Source organism: Homo sapiens, chromosome 6, assembly GCF_000001405.40.
Source record: "Homo sapiens chromosome 6, GRCh38.p14 Primary Assembly".
Classification (NCBI taxonomy): Eukaryota; Metazoa; Chordata; class Mammalia; order Primates; family Hominidae; genus Homo; species Homo sapiens.
The window spans coordinates 57,365,563-57,381,127 of NC_000006.12; the positions used below are offsets into that span (position 1 = coordinate 57,365,563).

At 37.3% G+C, this 15,565-nt stretch overlaps 1 protein-coding gene across 6 annotated transcripts in view; it reads left to right on the top strand.

The window, feature by feature from the left end:
- The window catches only part of PRIM2 (DNA primase subunit 2), a 425,311-nt gene that overhangs the window by 144,023 nt on the left and 265,723 nt on the right, over positions 1-15,565 (top strand). For all 6 annotated transcript variants that reach the window (XM_047418987.1, NM_000947.5, XM_047418988.1 and 3 more), the window contains exon 6: positions 14,339-14,434. In XM_047418987.1, coding sequence (XP_047274943.1) covers positions 14,339-14,434 — 96 coding nt within the window. The remainder of the gene's footprint in view (positions 1-14,338; positions 14,435-15,565) is intronic.

Consider the following 15,565-nt stretch of genomic DNA (forward strand, 5'->3'; position numbering starts at 1 on the left):
CTCTTATTCTAAGCTTTTCTGTATTTCTTCAGTTTGAATATTGTCACTTTCCATAGTTTGTGTATTTCAGTCAGTAAACATTTCATCAGGTATTGTGGTAAGAACTGGGAATATAGGCTGTGTGCGGTAGCTCGCGCCTGTGATCCCAGCACTTTGGGAGGCCAAGGCAGGAGGATTGTTTGAGCTAAGGGGTTTGAGACCAGCCTGGGTAACATAATGAGACCCGGTCTCTACAGAAAATTAAAAATCAGCTGGGCATGGTGGCGCGTTAGCACGCCTGTAATCCCAGGCTATTTGGGAGGCTGAGGCAGGAGAATTGCTTGAGCTTGGGAGATCAAGGCTGTAGTGAGCTGTTCCAGCCTGAGCAGCAGAGTGAGACCATATCTCAAAAAAAAAAAAAAAAAAAAAAAAAGAACTGGGAATATAATCGTTATGACACATTTACCTGTGCTTAGGTTCATATGTTAGTGAGGGAGATATAAATGCTTATAGTATTGTACATAAATAATATAAAAAAAAACTGTATCTTCAAGCAGACAGGTATGTACCAGCATGGAGGTGGGAGTAACTATGCCTAAGGAAATCTGGTGCAACTTTGCAGAGGTAACCTGTTAGTTGCATAGAAATTTGCCAGTAGAAACACAGGGTATAGAAAGACATTTCAGATGTGGGAAATATGTGTAAAGTCATAGAAGTGAAAGAAAGACATGGTGCGCTATAGGAAGTGCAGATAGGTTGGTATAATTGGAGGGCAAAGTATTTTAGGGGAAGAAAATTGAAACTAGAAAGAGTTTAAAGGCCTGGGATAAAAAGGAACTTTGATGGACACAAAGAGCCTGTGTAGTGGGGATAATGGAGTAAGTGAGCAGGAAGGACATGGAGATGTGGTTGGGGAAAATGTGTGAGGGTAGGGGTGATGCGTTGCTTGTGAATTGTGCTGTGATCGTGGGAGTGGGCTGCAGAAGTGGAGGGTGAGTGGGTCAGAGGATGCTGACGACTGTGAAACTAGTGTTGACTGGATCATCCATATGGGTGTAGCAGTCCATTTGGACAGTGGCAAGAAAGTGGATGTTGTGATGTCGACAAGATTTGGATTTGGACCGTGCCTGTTCCAGTTTTAGTACTGGAAGTCCCACATCCTTAGAAACCTCTCATTCCTGGACAAACTGGGATGGTTGGTCACCATAATGAGGTGCCAGAAGGATATGATGAACTTGAGGCATTGAAACGTGGAGAGCAATAATCTGTAAGTGGGGAGCAGCTGGCTAGGGTGGAGGAAAAAGGAGGGAATAAAGTTATGTTAATTTATGCTAGCACGGTGTTCTCATGAGATAGCAAGGAGGTAGAGGTCTTGATTAAATTACCTATTTTTTTTCAAAAATATTTGTTTTCTTGTAGAAGAGATGAAATATGCTTTAGTATAAGTAAATAATCTTTCCTTTTTAGTGTTAATTTTACTATATTCCAAATGTGCCTATGCTATTAAAAAAACAGTAATAAAGTAACCAGACAATTGATTTTTATATTGATTAGCTTGACAGTATTACTGAGACATCAACATACTAATTAGAATGTCAGGATATTAAATTATTCATTTTCTAACTTTTAATGTTTTGGATGATTATAAATGACAAAAAAATTTGTGAGTGAAGTACCATACTATCCTATCAATTTTAGTTAATTAATTCAGCCACAGAGTGGTAATTATTTCCTTTTTTATTTTCTATTTTTGTCTCTTTGTTAAAGATTTTCCAATTAAAATTTTTTCCTATTATATGGCTCTCCTTTATACATTTAAATGAAGAAAGTACTTTGTAAGAACTGGATTACAGATAGAAAAAAATGTTTAAAACTAACTTATTTTAGGTTGATAAATATTTGGGTTATTTATCACTGTGTCAGAAATACCTCCAAACCTAAAACAACAATTCCAAAACCTAACATTAAAACTTAAAATCAAAACTTAATTCTAAAACTTAAAACAGTACCCATCTTATTATATCTCACACTTTCGAGGGTTAGGGATTCAGAATGGGCTTACAGGGCAATTGTTCTGTTCCACATAGTATTATATATGGGCTTTCTTAGTTGACAACTAGTCTGGTCTAGGATGTCTAAGACAGCTTTACTCACATGCTTGTGCATATGTGAGGACTTCTAAAAGGCTGGACTCTGCTGGACGCCTTTCCATGTGATCCCTCAAACGAGGTGGTTGGACTTCTTACTTCATGATCTAGGACTCCAAGTGAACAAGGCAGAATCTGCCAGTCCTCTCAAAAAATAGGCCTGGGCCTGGCAGGGCATCACTCGTTCCTGTCAAAGTAGTCACAGGCCAGGCCAGATTCAAGGGGAGGGCAAATAGATCTTAGCTCTCAACGGAGGATGTGTCAAAGACTTTGCAGCCATCTTTAATCCCCATGTACTCCAGATTGATGATTACATCACAGTGCATTTGGGAAACAAATTGCCCTTTATAATCACAGTATTTGCTACCAATATAGAACCTATATTTATTTGAAATGATAATAACAGTATTAAAAATTATGATATTTGCTTTCAGCATTTGATCTATTCACAGTTTTAATTTCTTTATAAATGAAATGATTCCTAATTGTTTTATATATATCATATATATATCATACATTTATTTTAGAAAAGCGGATTCTTTTCCTGGGATATGCTGTTTAGACCAGTGATGTATGTCGAACCACTAATGGACCTTAAAAAAAAACATACAGCTCAGGGCTTCAGTCTGTAGGTCTGGGTGGCACCAGGAATCTGTAATTTTAAAAAGCTTCACTGGCAAGTAATGTACATACTTACTTAATGACCAGGGTCTAAGAAAGCTCTGTAGATTCAAATAGAAACTATCCAAACTATTTATAAATGTGATTGAGTATTGTTGATTGGAAGCTTATAGAAGCTTAAATCTCTGGGAAGCCTTATTTATATCTTTACTTTTGATGCCAGTGTACTAGACTAGTGGTTCCAACATGGCATCCCCAAGATGATCATTTGGGAATGTGGGAAAGAAATAAATAATACAACATATATTTTTAGTCTCATCCGTTCCACATTTTGGGGATGGGTATGGCATGTTTTAAGTGCAGAATGTACAGTAATACATACATATAATTTATAAATAAATATACATATATTGGAAGTATGTGCTGAAAAAACTTCATTGATGACAATGTGTGATGCAAAGATGAAGGTCACTGTTCCAGTCAGTTTAGTTTATGCATTGGTAACGACCCCCAAACCTCAGTGACTTATAGAAAGGTTTGTTCCTTGTTCATATTCTGTGTCTTCATGGGCCAGCTACAACCCTGCTGTGTGTCATTTTGTCCCTGGACTCAGGCAGATCGAGTAGGCTCTGTATACCGGAACTTCACCAGTTGCTGCGGCAAAAGGAGGAGAGAACTGGGTAAAATACATGCTCAGAAAGCTTTTGCTTAGGAATAACACACGTCACTTCCACTCACATTTCACTGGCCAAAGCAAGTCACTTGGCTACACTTTAGTTCAGCAGGTAGGGGGTGTATAATTCTCCCTCAGTGAGGGACTCAGTACAGGGTGAATAGCGATACAGTCTACACAGACATCCACTACCCTTCTATTTACTGTGTAGAGTATTTGCCTCTCTAGAGCTGCTCCTTAATCTGCTTTCAGGATTTCAACAGAGTGAAATTGCCTCTCTCAGTTCCTGGTTTGATGAAGAATATAAAAAAGAAAAAGACACACAGCCAAAATCCTTAATTCTGTTAGCAAGGCAGCATATAAAACAACATAATTTTGGAATATGGAAATATAACTTTGCCAAAACAGTTAAAACCCAGTGTAATTTTTACTTGATAAAAAACTATACCGTTATACCATGTGCTACCATTTGAAACATTCAGGTACTGACTGTTGAGTGGGTGGATATGAATAATAGGGATTGAGATGTGGGGAATTATGAGTAGTAGTGGCAAGAGCAGAACTTCAAAGCTAGAATGTTCAGAGTCTCTGTTGATTGGACATTAATCAGAGTGAAGGTTGAGCATCTCTAAAATAGTAATGTAAGTCACTCAAAAAATGTGTGTTTCATGTTGAGCCATTTGTTTATACACCTCTTTTTAGGAGGATGTTTACTTTGTGAAGCATACTACACCTTGATTATAAGATGTTGCAGTGATAACCTAGCTGGCTTTTATCAGTTATTTTGAATTCCCCTATACACCAAGACCTGTGTTAGTTTAATGAAATGACAAGTTTATAGAAACTGCATTAGTTGCAGTAAACATTTCACTTTATTACTTGAGGAAAAAGCCTGAAATACAGAAACTAATCAAAATGTAAATTACAGGTAGTAACAACAAGTGTTTACCATGTACTAAGGGTGTGCTGTATGTTAGGCCTATTGTACACACTTTACATACTTTATTTAATCCCAAGAAAAGCTACATGAGATAGGTATGATTTTCTTCATTTTATCCCTGAAGAAACTAAGGTGTAAAGAGGTTAACTAACCTGTTTAAGATTCAAAGACAGGTTTCTATGATTTTGAAAACTATTCTCTCTACTACTTTACTCTGCTTTTATAATTGTTCCACTCTATCTGTTTTTACTTGTATTCTTTGTTAGTAGAAGTAGGAAGCCATTTAATCTTGTCTTGCTCTTTCAGAGAATGAGTATTTTTTTTAGGTATGCAGCAGGTAATCTCATTTAGGAGAACCTAAATAAATGAAATATCCTTATATTTTGTCCAATAGTTTTTAAGGAGAAAGCAAGAGTAAAGAGAATATTCAGGATTATTTTAGGATTTCAAAATAATGAAGTTAATAGCAGTTTATACTAATTATTTAATAGTAAAGTTTCTGACAGTCATCCTACATTTTTCAATGAGAATTGTCTTGTATTTTCCATTTCCATTTTGGTTATAACTAAATAGATAAATGAAGATTTAGAATTTGTTTGACAAATGGATGTATTTTTTAATTCATCAAAGAAAACCAGAATATTTACTCATAGGCCATGAAACAGGAAGTGACATGAAATTTAGATCGAAGTGCATGATTTAGAGTGTGTTTGCTTACTTTGGGTGAAAAGTTTAGAAACACATTGAATTCCTTAGAATTCTATCTATAGCTTTTTTTTTTTTTTTTTTTGAGATGGAGTCTCACCCTGCCACCTGCGCTGGAGTGCAGTGGTGCGATCTCAGCTCACTGCAACCTTTGCCTGCCTCCTAGGTTCAAGCTATTTTCCTGCCTCAGCCTCCTGAGTAGCTGGGATTACAGCGTGGGCCACCATGCCCGGCTAATTTTTGTATTTTTAGTAAAGATGGGGTTTCACCATGTTGGCCAGGCTGGGCTCAAACTCCTGACCTCAGGTGATCTGCCCACCTCAGCCTCCCAAAGTGCTGGGATTTCAGGCATGAGTGACTGCACCCAGCCCAGAATTTTATCTATAACTTCTAATCTGAGCAAGACTAGATAGCTTTTATTCTTCTTTGGGTGGGGGTAGATTTCAATGAGAAGAAATATTGCATTAAACTCTAATTTTTATTTAAGTTCTTGAGGTTTGTTTTTTTTTTTTTTTCAAAATTATATCTTGTATATTTCCAAGGCAGAAGACTATTTGGAGAAGTAAAGTCTGTTGTAGCTAAAGTATTCTGTTGTGTGGCAGTTGAACTGATGTGTGCTTCCCTGACATTTACTTGGTAAGTAGTTAATTGCTTACCAAGTTAGAAATAACTGTGGTATCAGTAATACAAATACTTGAATTTAGGGAAAGGTGAGATACTATATTATGCTAGGTGAAGTATTAGTGGTACTTAGTTATTAATGTGGGATTTGTTTAGTTAGAACCTAAAACAATATTAGGACAAACATCTGTATGTTCAAAGATACTAGTTTCTTTATTGCTGGGTAAAAGGTGATTATAAAAGGATCATGACAGGTTAACACATTTGGCTTCAATTTCAGTTTTGCCAGATCTAGGCAAGATTTATTTGGGCAACAAACAATACATGTAATCAATTATAATTATTCTTATTAATGGTGGGGAACACAGAGATGTATATTAAAATTTTATTTAATTTCAGATAAATGTTTACTGGGAAAATTTGAAATATATTTTTATATTTAGGTTGGATGCTTACTTAAAAAGCAATGAAAGAGCATCGTGAAGACATGAAGATTTCTTCTCCTTTCACCCTATCTCCCCAATCAGTTTCTTCCTTCATTAATTGCTGTTTGAGAATTATAACTTGGCTCTAAAACTTAAAATAGCTACTTCCTCTCAGATATTTTCTGCATTGTGTGTCTGGTTGCCTATTTGAGTTTCAGAGAATTTCCCTTATGGAATGCAAAGTGAAAGGTAAATAGTCAATTAAGTAGAAAAGTTACTGTCAACAGAGATATATGTAAACATAGCAAATACGAAAGCAAAATAATCTGGCTTTAGCTCTTAGGGAAATATTTGCTATTGCTAAACCTCAATTTACATACTCTACAATGAGTGTTGATTATCTGTAATTTGTGCTCTGACCCTTTAAAATTTTTACTTATAAAACTTCTCATGGCATCTAGTTGTATTACATTTTTAGTTTCTGTATCTTTATCTTGTCCATCACCAAAGAGGAATTGAGGTGAAAGTTTCCAGTTGATGAATTTGTCTTCCATTGCTTTTAATGTTACATGTTTGTTTAGCTTTCCTGCAAAGTAGTATCTGTTTATTTGTTTGGAGACCACATGGCCTAGTGGACCTTAGCATTGGATAGACTTTGGTTGGAAATCCAGTTTGGTTTCTACTCATATTAATTAGCTATAAAACTAGGATAATATCCAGCTTATAGGGTTATTAGTAGGATTAAGTGAGATAGTATAAGTAAAATAGCATAGTAACTAGTAGATAGTACACATGGATTTCAGTCATCATCAACTTTTGAATAATCTACTAGATTGACACAACTAAACTTCATCCTCTGCTGTATTTCAACTTTCATATAATAAATGGTGAGTGAGGTATTAAGCCCAGCATCTGATGCGCTCCCTCCTCTCACCTCCCACCCTCCAAAAGGCCCAGTGTGTGTTTTTCTCCACCAAGTGTCCATATGTTTTTATCATTCAGCTCCCACTTATAAATGAGAACATGTGGTATTTGGTTTTCTGTTGCTGTGTTAGTTTGTTAAGGATAATGGCCTCTAGCTCCATCCATGTCCCTGCAAAGGACATGAGCTCATTCCTTCTTAAGGCTGCATAGTATTCCGTGGTGTATATGTACCACATTTTCTTTATCCAGTGTATCATTAATCGGCATTTGGGTTGATTCCATGTCTTTGCTATTGTGAATAGTGCTGCAGTGAACATATGTGTGCATGTATCTTTATAATAAAAAAATAAAATGATTTATATTCCTTTGGGTATATACCCGGTAATGGGATTGCTGGCTTCAATGATATTTCTGCCTCTAGGTCTTTGAGGAATCCCCACACTGTCTTCCACAATGGTTGAACTAATTTACTCTTCCACCAGCAGTGTAAAAGCATTCCTTTTTCTCCACAACCTTGCCAGCATCTGTTGTTTTTTGACTTTTTAGTAGTAGCCATTCTGACTGGTGTGAGATGGTACCTCATTGTGGTTTTGATTTGCATTTGTCTAATGATCACTGACATTGTTTTTTTTTTCATGTGTTTGTTGGCCGCATGTATGTCTTCTTTTGAGAAGGGTCTGTTCGTGTCCTTTGTCCACTTTTTAATGTTTTTTTTTTTCTTGTAAATTTGAGTTCCTTATAGATACTGGATATTAGACCTTTGTCAGATGTATAGATTGCAAAAATTTTCTCCCATTCTTTAGATTGTCTGTTTACTCTGTTGATAGATTCTTTTGCTGTGCAGAAGCTCTTTAGTTTAATTGGATCCCATGTGTCAATTTTTGCTTTTGTTTCAATTGTTTTTGGTGTTTTCATCATGAAATCTTTGCCTGTGCTTATGTCCTGATTGGTAATGCCAATTCTGGGGTTTTCATAGTTTTAGGTTTTACATTTAAGTATTTAATCCATCTTGAGTTGATTTTTGTATATGGTATAAGGACAGGGTCCAGTTTCGATTTTCTATGTATGGCTAGCCAGTTCTCACAGCACCATTTATTATACAGGGAAATCTTTCCCTGTTGCTTGTTTTTGTTAGGTTTGTTGATGATCAAGTGTTGTAGGCATGCAGTCTTACTTCTGGTTTCTCTAATCTGTTCCATTGGTCTATGTGCCTGTTTTTATACCAGTGCCATGCTCTTTTGGTTACTGTAGCCCTGTAGTATAGTTTGAAATAGGGTAGTGTGATGCCACCAGCTTTGTTCTTTTTGCTTAGGGTTGTCTTGGTTATTTGGGCTCCTTTTTGGTTCCATATGAATTTTAAAATAGTTTTAAAAAAATTCTGTGAAGAACGTCAGTGGTAGTTTGATGGGATTAGCACTGAATCTATAAATTGCATCAGACAGTATGGACATTTTCATGATACTGATTCTTTCTATCCATGAGCATGGAATATTTTTCCATTTGTTTGTGTCATCTCTGATTTCTTTGAACAGTGGTTTGTAGATCTCCTTGAAGAGGTCCTTTACTTCCTTTGTTAGCTGTATTCCTAGGAATTTTATTCTTTTTGTGGCAATTGTAAATGGGATTGCCTTCTTGATTTGGCTGTTGGCTTGGCTATTGTTGGTGTATAGGAATGCTATTTATTTATTTATTTATTTATTTATTTATTTTTTTTGAGACGGAGTTTCGCTCTGTCGCCCAGGCTGGAGTGCAGTGGCGCGATCTCGACTCACTGCAAGCTCCGCCTCCCGGGTTCACGCCATTCTCCTGCCTCAGCCTCCCGTGTAGCTGGGACTACAGGCGCGCGCCACCATGCCCGGCTAATTTTTGTATTTTTAGTAGAGACGGGGTTTCACCATGTTAGCCAGGATGGTCTCGATCTCCTGACCTCGTGATCCGCCCGTCTCGGCCTCCCAAAGTGCTGGGATTACAGGCGTGAGCCACCGCGCCCGGCCTTATTTATTTATTTTTTGAGACAGAGTCTTGCTCTGTCGCCCAGGCTGGACTGCAGTGGCGCGATCTCAGCTCACTACAACCTCCACCTCCCAGGTTCAAGTGATCTTCCTGCCTCAGCCCACTGAGTAGCTGGGATTACAGGTGTGTGCCACCATGTCCGGCTAATTTTTGTATTTTTAGCAGAGACGGGGTTTCGCCGTGTTGGGCAGTCATGAACTCCTGACCTGAGGTGGTTCACCTGCCTCAGCCTCCCAAATTGCTGGTATTACAGGTATGAGCCACCTCACTCAGCTGGAATGCTAGTGATTTTTGCATGTTAGTTTAGTATCTTGAGACTTTGCTGAAGTTGCTTATTAGCTTAAGAAGCTTTTGGGCTGAGACAATGGGGTTTTCTAGATATAGGATGATGTCATCTGTAAACAAAGATAGTTTGACTTTCTCTCCTCCTATTTGAATACTCTTTATTTTTTTCTCTTGCCTGATTGCCTTAGCAGGAACTTTCAAGACTATGTTGAATAGGGGTGGTGAGAAAGGGCAAGCTTGTCTTGTGCGGGTTTTCAGGGGGAATGTTTCCAGCTTTTGCCCATTCAGTATGATATTGGCTGTGGGTTTGTCATATATGGCTCTTATTATTTTGAGGTATGTTCCTTCAATACCCAGTTTATTGAGAGTTTTTAACATGAAGGGATGTTGAATTTTATTGAAGGCTTTTTCTGCATCTATTGAGATAATCATGTGGTTTTTATCTTTAGTTCTGTTTATGTGATGAATCACATTTATTGATTTGTGTATGTTGAACCAACCTTGCATCCTGGATATGAAGCCAAGTTGATCGTGGTGGATAAGCTTTTTGATGTGCTGCTGGATTCGGTTTACAAGTATTTTGTTGAGGATTTTTGCATCAGTGTTCATCAAGGATATTGGCCTGATGTTTTCCTTTTTTTTGTTGTATCTCCGCCAGATTTTGGTATAAGGATGATGCTGACCCTTCCTCTGTTGCCCAGTCTAGAGGGTAGTGGTGTGATCATAGTTCACTGTAGCCTTAAACTCCTGGGCTCAAGAGATCTTCCCGCCTCAGCCTTTTTTTTTTTTTTTTTAAAGTAGCTGTGTGTAATGGTGTGTGTCTGTAGTCCTATCTCAGCTGGGACTACTAGGTACTCACCATCACACCCAGCTAATTAAAAAAAATTTTTTTTAGTTTGGGTATAATGGTTTATGCCTGTAATCTTAGCCTATTGGGAGGCCAAGGTGGGAGAATCACTTGATTCTAGGGATTTGAGACTAGGCTGGGTAACATAGTAAGACCGTGTCTCTATAAAAAATTTAAAAAATGGCCAGGCATGGTGGCTCACATCTGTAATTCTAACACTTTGAGAGGGCAAGGGAGTAGGATCCCTTGAGCCCAGGAGTTCAAGACCAGCCTGAGCAACATAGGGAGATCCCATCTCTATAAGAAAAAATATAATATTAAAACAATTTAAGAATAATTAGCTGGGCATGGTGGTTTGTGCCTGTAGTCCCAATTACTCAGAAAGTTCAATTACTCAGTGATCCGTGATCATACCATTGCATTCCAGCCTGGGTGAACAAACAAGACCCTGTTAGAGATGGGGGTCTCACTTAGTCGCCCAGGCTAGTCTCAAACTCCTGGCCTCAAGCGATCCAACCACCTCAGCCTCCCAAGTAGCTGGGATTACAGATGCCAACTCCCATGCCTGGCCATTTGTATATTTTAACCATTCTAATTGTCATGTAGTGGTATGTCATTGAGGTTTCCATTATGGTTTCAAACCCTGATGACTAAGGAGGTTGAGCATCTTTTAATACATTTTTTGGCTCTTTGAGTTTTCTCATTTGTAAAGTGCCTGTTAATGTCTTTTGCTAATTTTTCTATTGGATTGACTCTTTTTTTTGTTATTTCTGTTCTGGCTGTTCTTGGCCCTTTGCATGTTCATGTACATTTTAGAACCAGAACGTCCACACACAGAGGCATACACAAAAGCTATTACGATTTTATTTGGGATTGTATTGAATCTATAGGTTAATTTGAAGAGATTTGAAACATTTACAATATTAAGTTTTCTGGTTGATGTTTAGGGTATCTCTGTTAATTAATTTTTCTCCAGTTTCTCTAAGATTTTATATTTTTGTTGGTGAAGGCCTTGCACATATTTTGTTAGATTTATTCCTAGATCCTTGATAGTTTTAATTCTGTTGTAAATTGTAGCTTAAAAAATTCCCTTACTGAATTTTGTTGCTGGCATATAGAAATACAATTAGTTTTTCTATATTTTTTATTTTTTGAGACCGAGTCTCGCCTTGTCGCCCAGGCTGGAGTGCAGTGGCACAATCTGGCTCACCGCAACCTCCACCTTCCAGGTTCAAGCAATTCTTCTTCCCCACCCTCCTGAGTAGCTGGGATTACAGGCGTGCACCACCATGCCCAGCTAATTTTTTTTTTTTTTTTTGGTATCTTTAGTAGAGATGGGGTTTCACCATGTTGGCCAGGCTGGTCTCAAACTCCTGACCTCATGATCCACCCGCCTCAGCCTCCTGAAGTGCTGGGATTACAGGTGTGAGTCACCGCACCCTGCCGGTTTTTCTATATTTGAATCCAGAAACCTGACTCAATTAGGCCAATAGTTTTAATAATTTGTCGTGGATACTTCTGGATTTTCTAAGTATACTAAATCATATAATCTGCAAATAGAGTTTTAGTTCTTCTTTTTCAATCTTGATACTTTTTTGTTCTTACCTATATTGTTTTTATTCATGGAGTCTCATTTCCTGGTGTGCTTTGTTACTGTTGTATGCTGGAGATTGTGTTTCGAAAGTTATGTGTGGACTATATTGAAGCTTAGGAGGATTATATCTTTCTGGAAGGGTTTTCATTTGTTTTTTTTTTTTCATTGGCCTGGGGTCATTGCTGGTCCAGGCTAATTTTAATTTAAATCTGGGATCTGAGATCTCAGAATCACTAGATAAGTTGAAAATGGGTTGTAGATCCATGTGAAGGCTGATAAGGTTCTGGTTCATCCTCAAGTAATTGTTCACAGCTACAGGAATTTCAGGGGTTTCTTCCTGACTCCATTGAGTTTTAAATTTCTGTGCCTAAATTTTTTTTGTCTATTTCTAGAAATTTTTTTTTCTTTTTCCTCTTTTTCCTTATATAGGCCTAATCATCTCTGAAATGTCATTTCTTACATTCATCTAAATGTGTGTTTGGAACCTGTTTAATAAAACACAGGTTTCATTTAGTGATATAAAACAACACATCACAAAGGTTTTGTGCACATTGCTTGATTTTAGGTCTTAGGGCTGGATGTTTGTATGTTCCTGTAAGGGCTCAACGGGCTCAGAAATGTCATTTCTTAGATTCTACAAACTGTGTGTTTGGAACCTTTTTAATGAAAACCCAGGTTCCATTCAGTGATGTAAAACAGCACATCAGAAAGCTTTTTCTTCTTCTTCTTCTTTTTTTTTTTTTTGATAATGGTTTGCTGTGTCACCCAGACTGGAGTGCAGTAATGTGATCATGGCTTACTGCAGCCTCTAACTCCTGGGCTCAAGCAATCCTCCCACCTTAGCCTCCCAAGTAGCTGAGATAACAAGTGTATACCACCATACCTGGCTAATGTTTTAATTTTTTTTTTTGTAGAGATGGGGTCTCACCGTGTTGCCCAGGCTGGTCTCAAACTCCTGGATTCAAGTGATCCTCCCGCCTTGGCCTCCAAAAGTGCTGGGATTATAGACGTGAGCCACCGTGCCCAGCCTTTTGCTTTTAAAAAAAAAATCACTTTTTATAGTTTCCACTTCATACAGATTGTGCTTGTCTTTTATTTCTGTACACATGGTAGCATAGTTATTATCTGTAAACTTTGTGAATTCTTCCCTGTTGTTTTTGTTCGTGAAGTATAGTTTTTTTCTATACCTTGTTATAAAATACAACGTGCTTGACATTGTATTTGGAAATTTATTTGTAGGAATACTTTGAGGTGTAATGTGAAGGTTCCTCCAGAGAGGATTTGAGTTTGCTTTTGCGAGGTGCCTGGGCATTTGAATCAGGTACCGCCTTAAAACAAGTTCAAGGCTTGGGATTCCCTGATATCCTACATCATTTGAGCAGGAAGGTCTCTCGTCAGATATCCCACTTTGTGTGGGCCTGACTTTGTATATTAACTTTCTGTGCTGTAAAGATGTTTTAAAAATTTTATCAGTGTTTTGTTTTGTTTTGTTTTCTCTAGGAGGTTGACCCAAATAATATAGCCTGTTTTACTGAAACAGCAAGTTCTACTGCAGTTTGTTTAACTAGATACATGTTGGACATTTAGTTTTTTTCTTTATTATTATAAATAACACTGTAATAAAGAAACGTTTTTATTTGTGTGCTTGTCCTGTTATTTACTTGTGATTAATCTGAAAATAAAATAGTTACAATCTGCATTTTTAAAGGCTATTTGATATGTATTATCAAAGTATGGTACACAAAGATTGTCCTAACACTGTGTATTCTAAATCTTTTTAACTTTTACCATTTTGATAGATGGAAAATAGTACACATTATTATTTTAATTTAGCATTTATTATTTTTACTTATATAACTATTGGCTGTTCATGTTTTACTACTTTTGGGTTATGAAAGCTTACATACTGCCAACTAGGGGCTTACTGAGGCTAACTCACACATCAGATGATGTAAATATTTCCCTCAGTTTGTCACTTATATTTCATCTTCATTTACAAAAATATATATATGTTTTGGTATAGAAGTTTAACGCTTGTACTAATCAGATCTATCAATTTTTTATAAAGCCATAATCAGTCTGAGATAATAAATTTATAGTTGTTCCTAGAAAAACTAGTGTTTTAAGTTTGGAATTGTCTTATGTGGCTAGAAAATTGAGAAATAGTCAAACCACTCTAACCTCAATTAGGATATTTTAATATATTAACATAACTCAAATTAGGATAATGCTCATTTTTAGTCTATATTAACCTGAGTTTTTATGATAAGTTTTTTCCTTTTTCTCATTAAAATATTTTCTCTTTGTCTGCTACTGTTCTTTTGATGTATACCTTCAGAAATTGGCAGGGTTGAAATTTGAAAGAATATTCAATTTAGGTTTTTTTCTGTATTTTGCCTTCACTAATGATAGTGATTCAGATATCATGTTAGAAATGATTTGAGATATCAAGGTTTTAAAATTTTTAATAAAAGTAAACAGTATTCATTAAAACAGGAAATCATTTTATTGAAACTGAATGAGGACTTCAAATTTTTGTAACAGCTTAAAATATGTTTTTTTAGATAAGTGATGAAGAGAAGACTCTTCGAGAACAGGAGATTGTTGCCTCATCACCAAGTTTAAGTGGACTTAAGTTGGGGTTCGAGTCCATTTATAAGGTATGTAAACATGTAAAATACTTCCTAGGTTTTGTTAAATATGTCGCATTGAGCTTTATATACATATTTAATTAATCCATTTTTATAGCCTCTCATCATCACAGCTACTCTGTCTCCTGCACAGATACTGTCCTCATTGCACTAATGGTGTGCCAATGTTCTCTCCTGGGCTGTCTCCTTCCACGGACGCATTCCCAACCCTGCTTGGGCTCTGACCTCCCATTACAGGCTGTTTTCCTAATGGAATACCCTCCTTGCATTGTTTGGGTTCTTACACCCTGCACTGGGCTATCCCCTGCCAGGAAACCCTCATCACCCATTTGGCCCAACACTCTGTTTGGATTGCTGCCTTGCGTGGAAGCCCCCTTTCGCTTCTCTTGACCTCTGACATCGTGGTGTCTTGCCTCATGGTCTCTCTGTGATTCCACTGGGCTCTGACATTGTAAGCCTACGTTTTTTCCTATGGGAATGCCCTCCTTAACCTACTCAGATTCCATCATCCTGTGCTTGGCCACCTCAGTTTCCCCTCCCCACTCAGTTCAGATAACTACGTCACATGAACCCTTCCAGAAGGGGAAGAGGGAAGAGTTTAAATTCATTTTACAATTTGATAACTGCAACCCCACAATTTCCTTTGAAAAGAATGTGCTAATTATTATGAGTGAGTGCCAGTAGTTTAAAGTCCTGCCCCATTCCAGCTTCTTCGTTTCGACTGTTGGGCCATCATTCAGTCAGCCTTTCAAGCCTAGAGTGTGGTGATCAATATTTATTTCTCTTACACCACACATTTCCAGTTACTCTGCCTTCACATCATCTTTTGCTTCTACTTGGGCATTTTTGTTTCCACTGTGACCACCTTAATAAGCTAGAATCATGAAATACTATGGCTAAAGAATCCCTAAGGGTCAGTTAGCCTGTGTCTTCCTCCCCTCTCTCAGCTTTACAGATCTGGCTGCTGAGATTTAGAGGCATTCATTAAATTCACCAAATAAGTCTAGTCAGTATCAGAGCTTGGACTAGAACTCATGTTTCTTCCCTATATTATTGCAGTAAACCCTCTTACCTGCTCATCTGATATGTCCTATGTAAGCTACCTATTTGGTGCAGTATCACACAATTTACCCTGTAGGT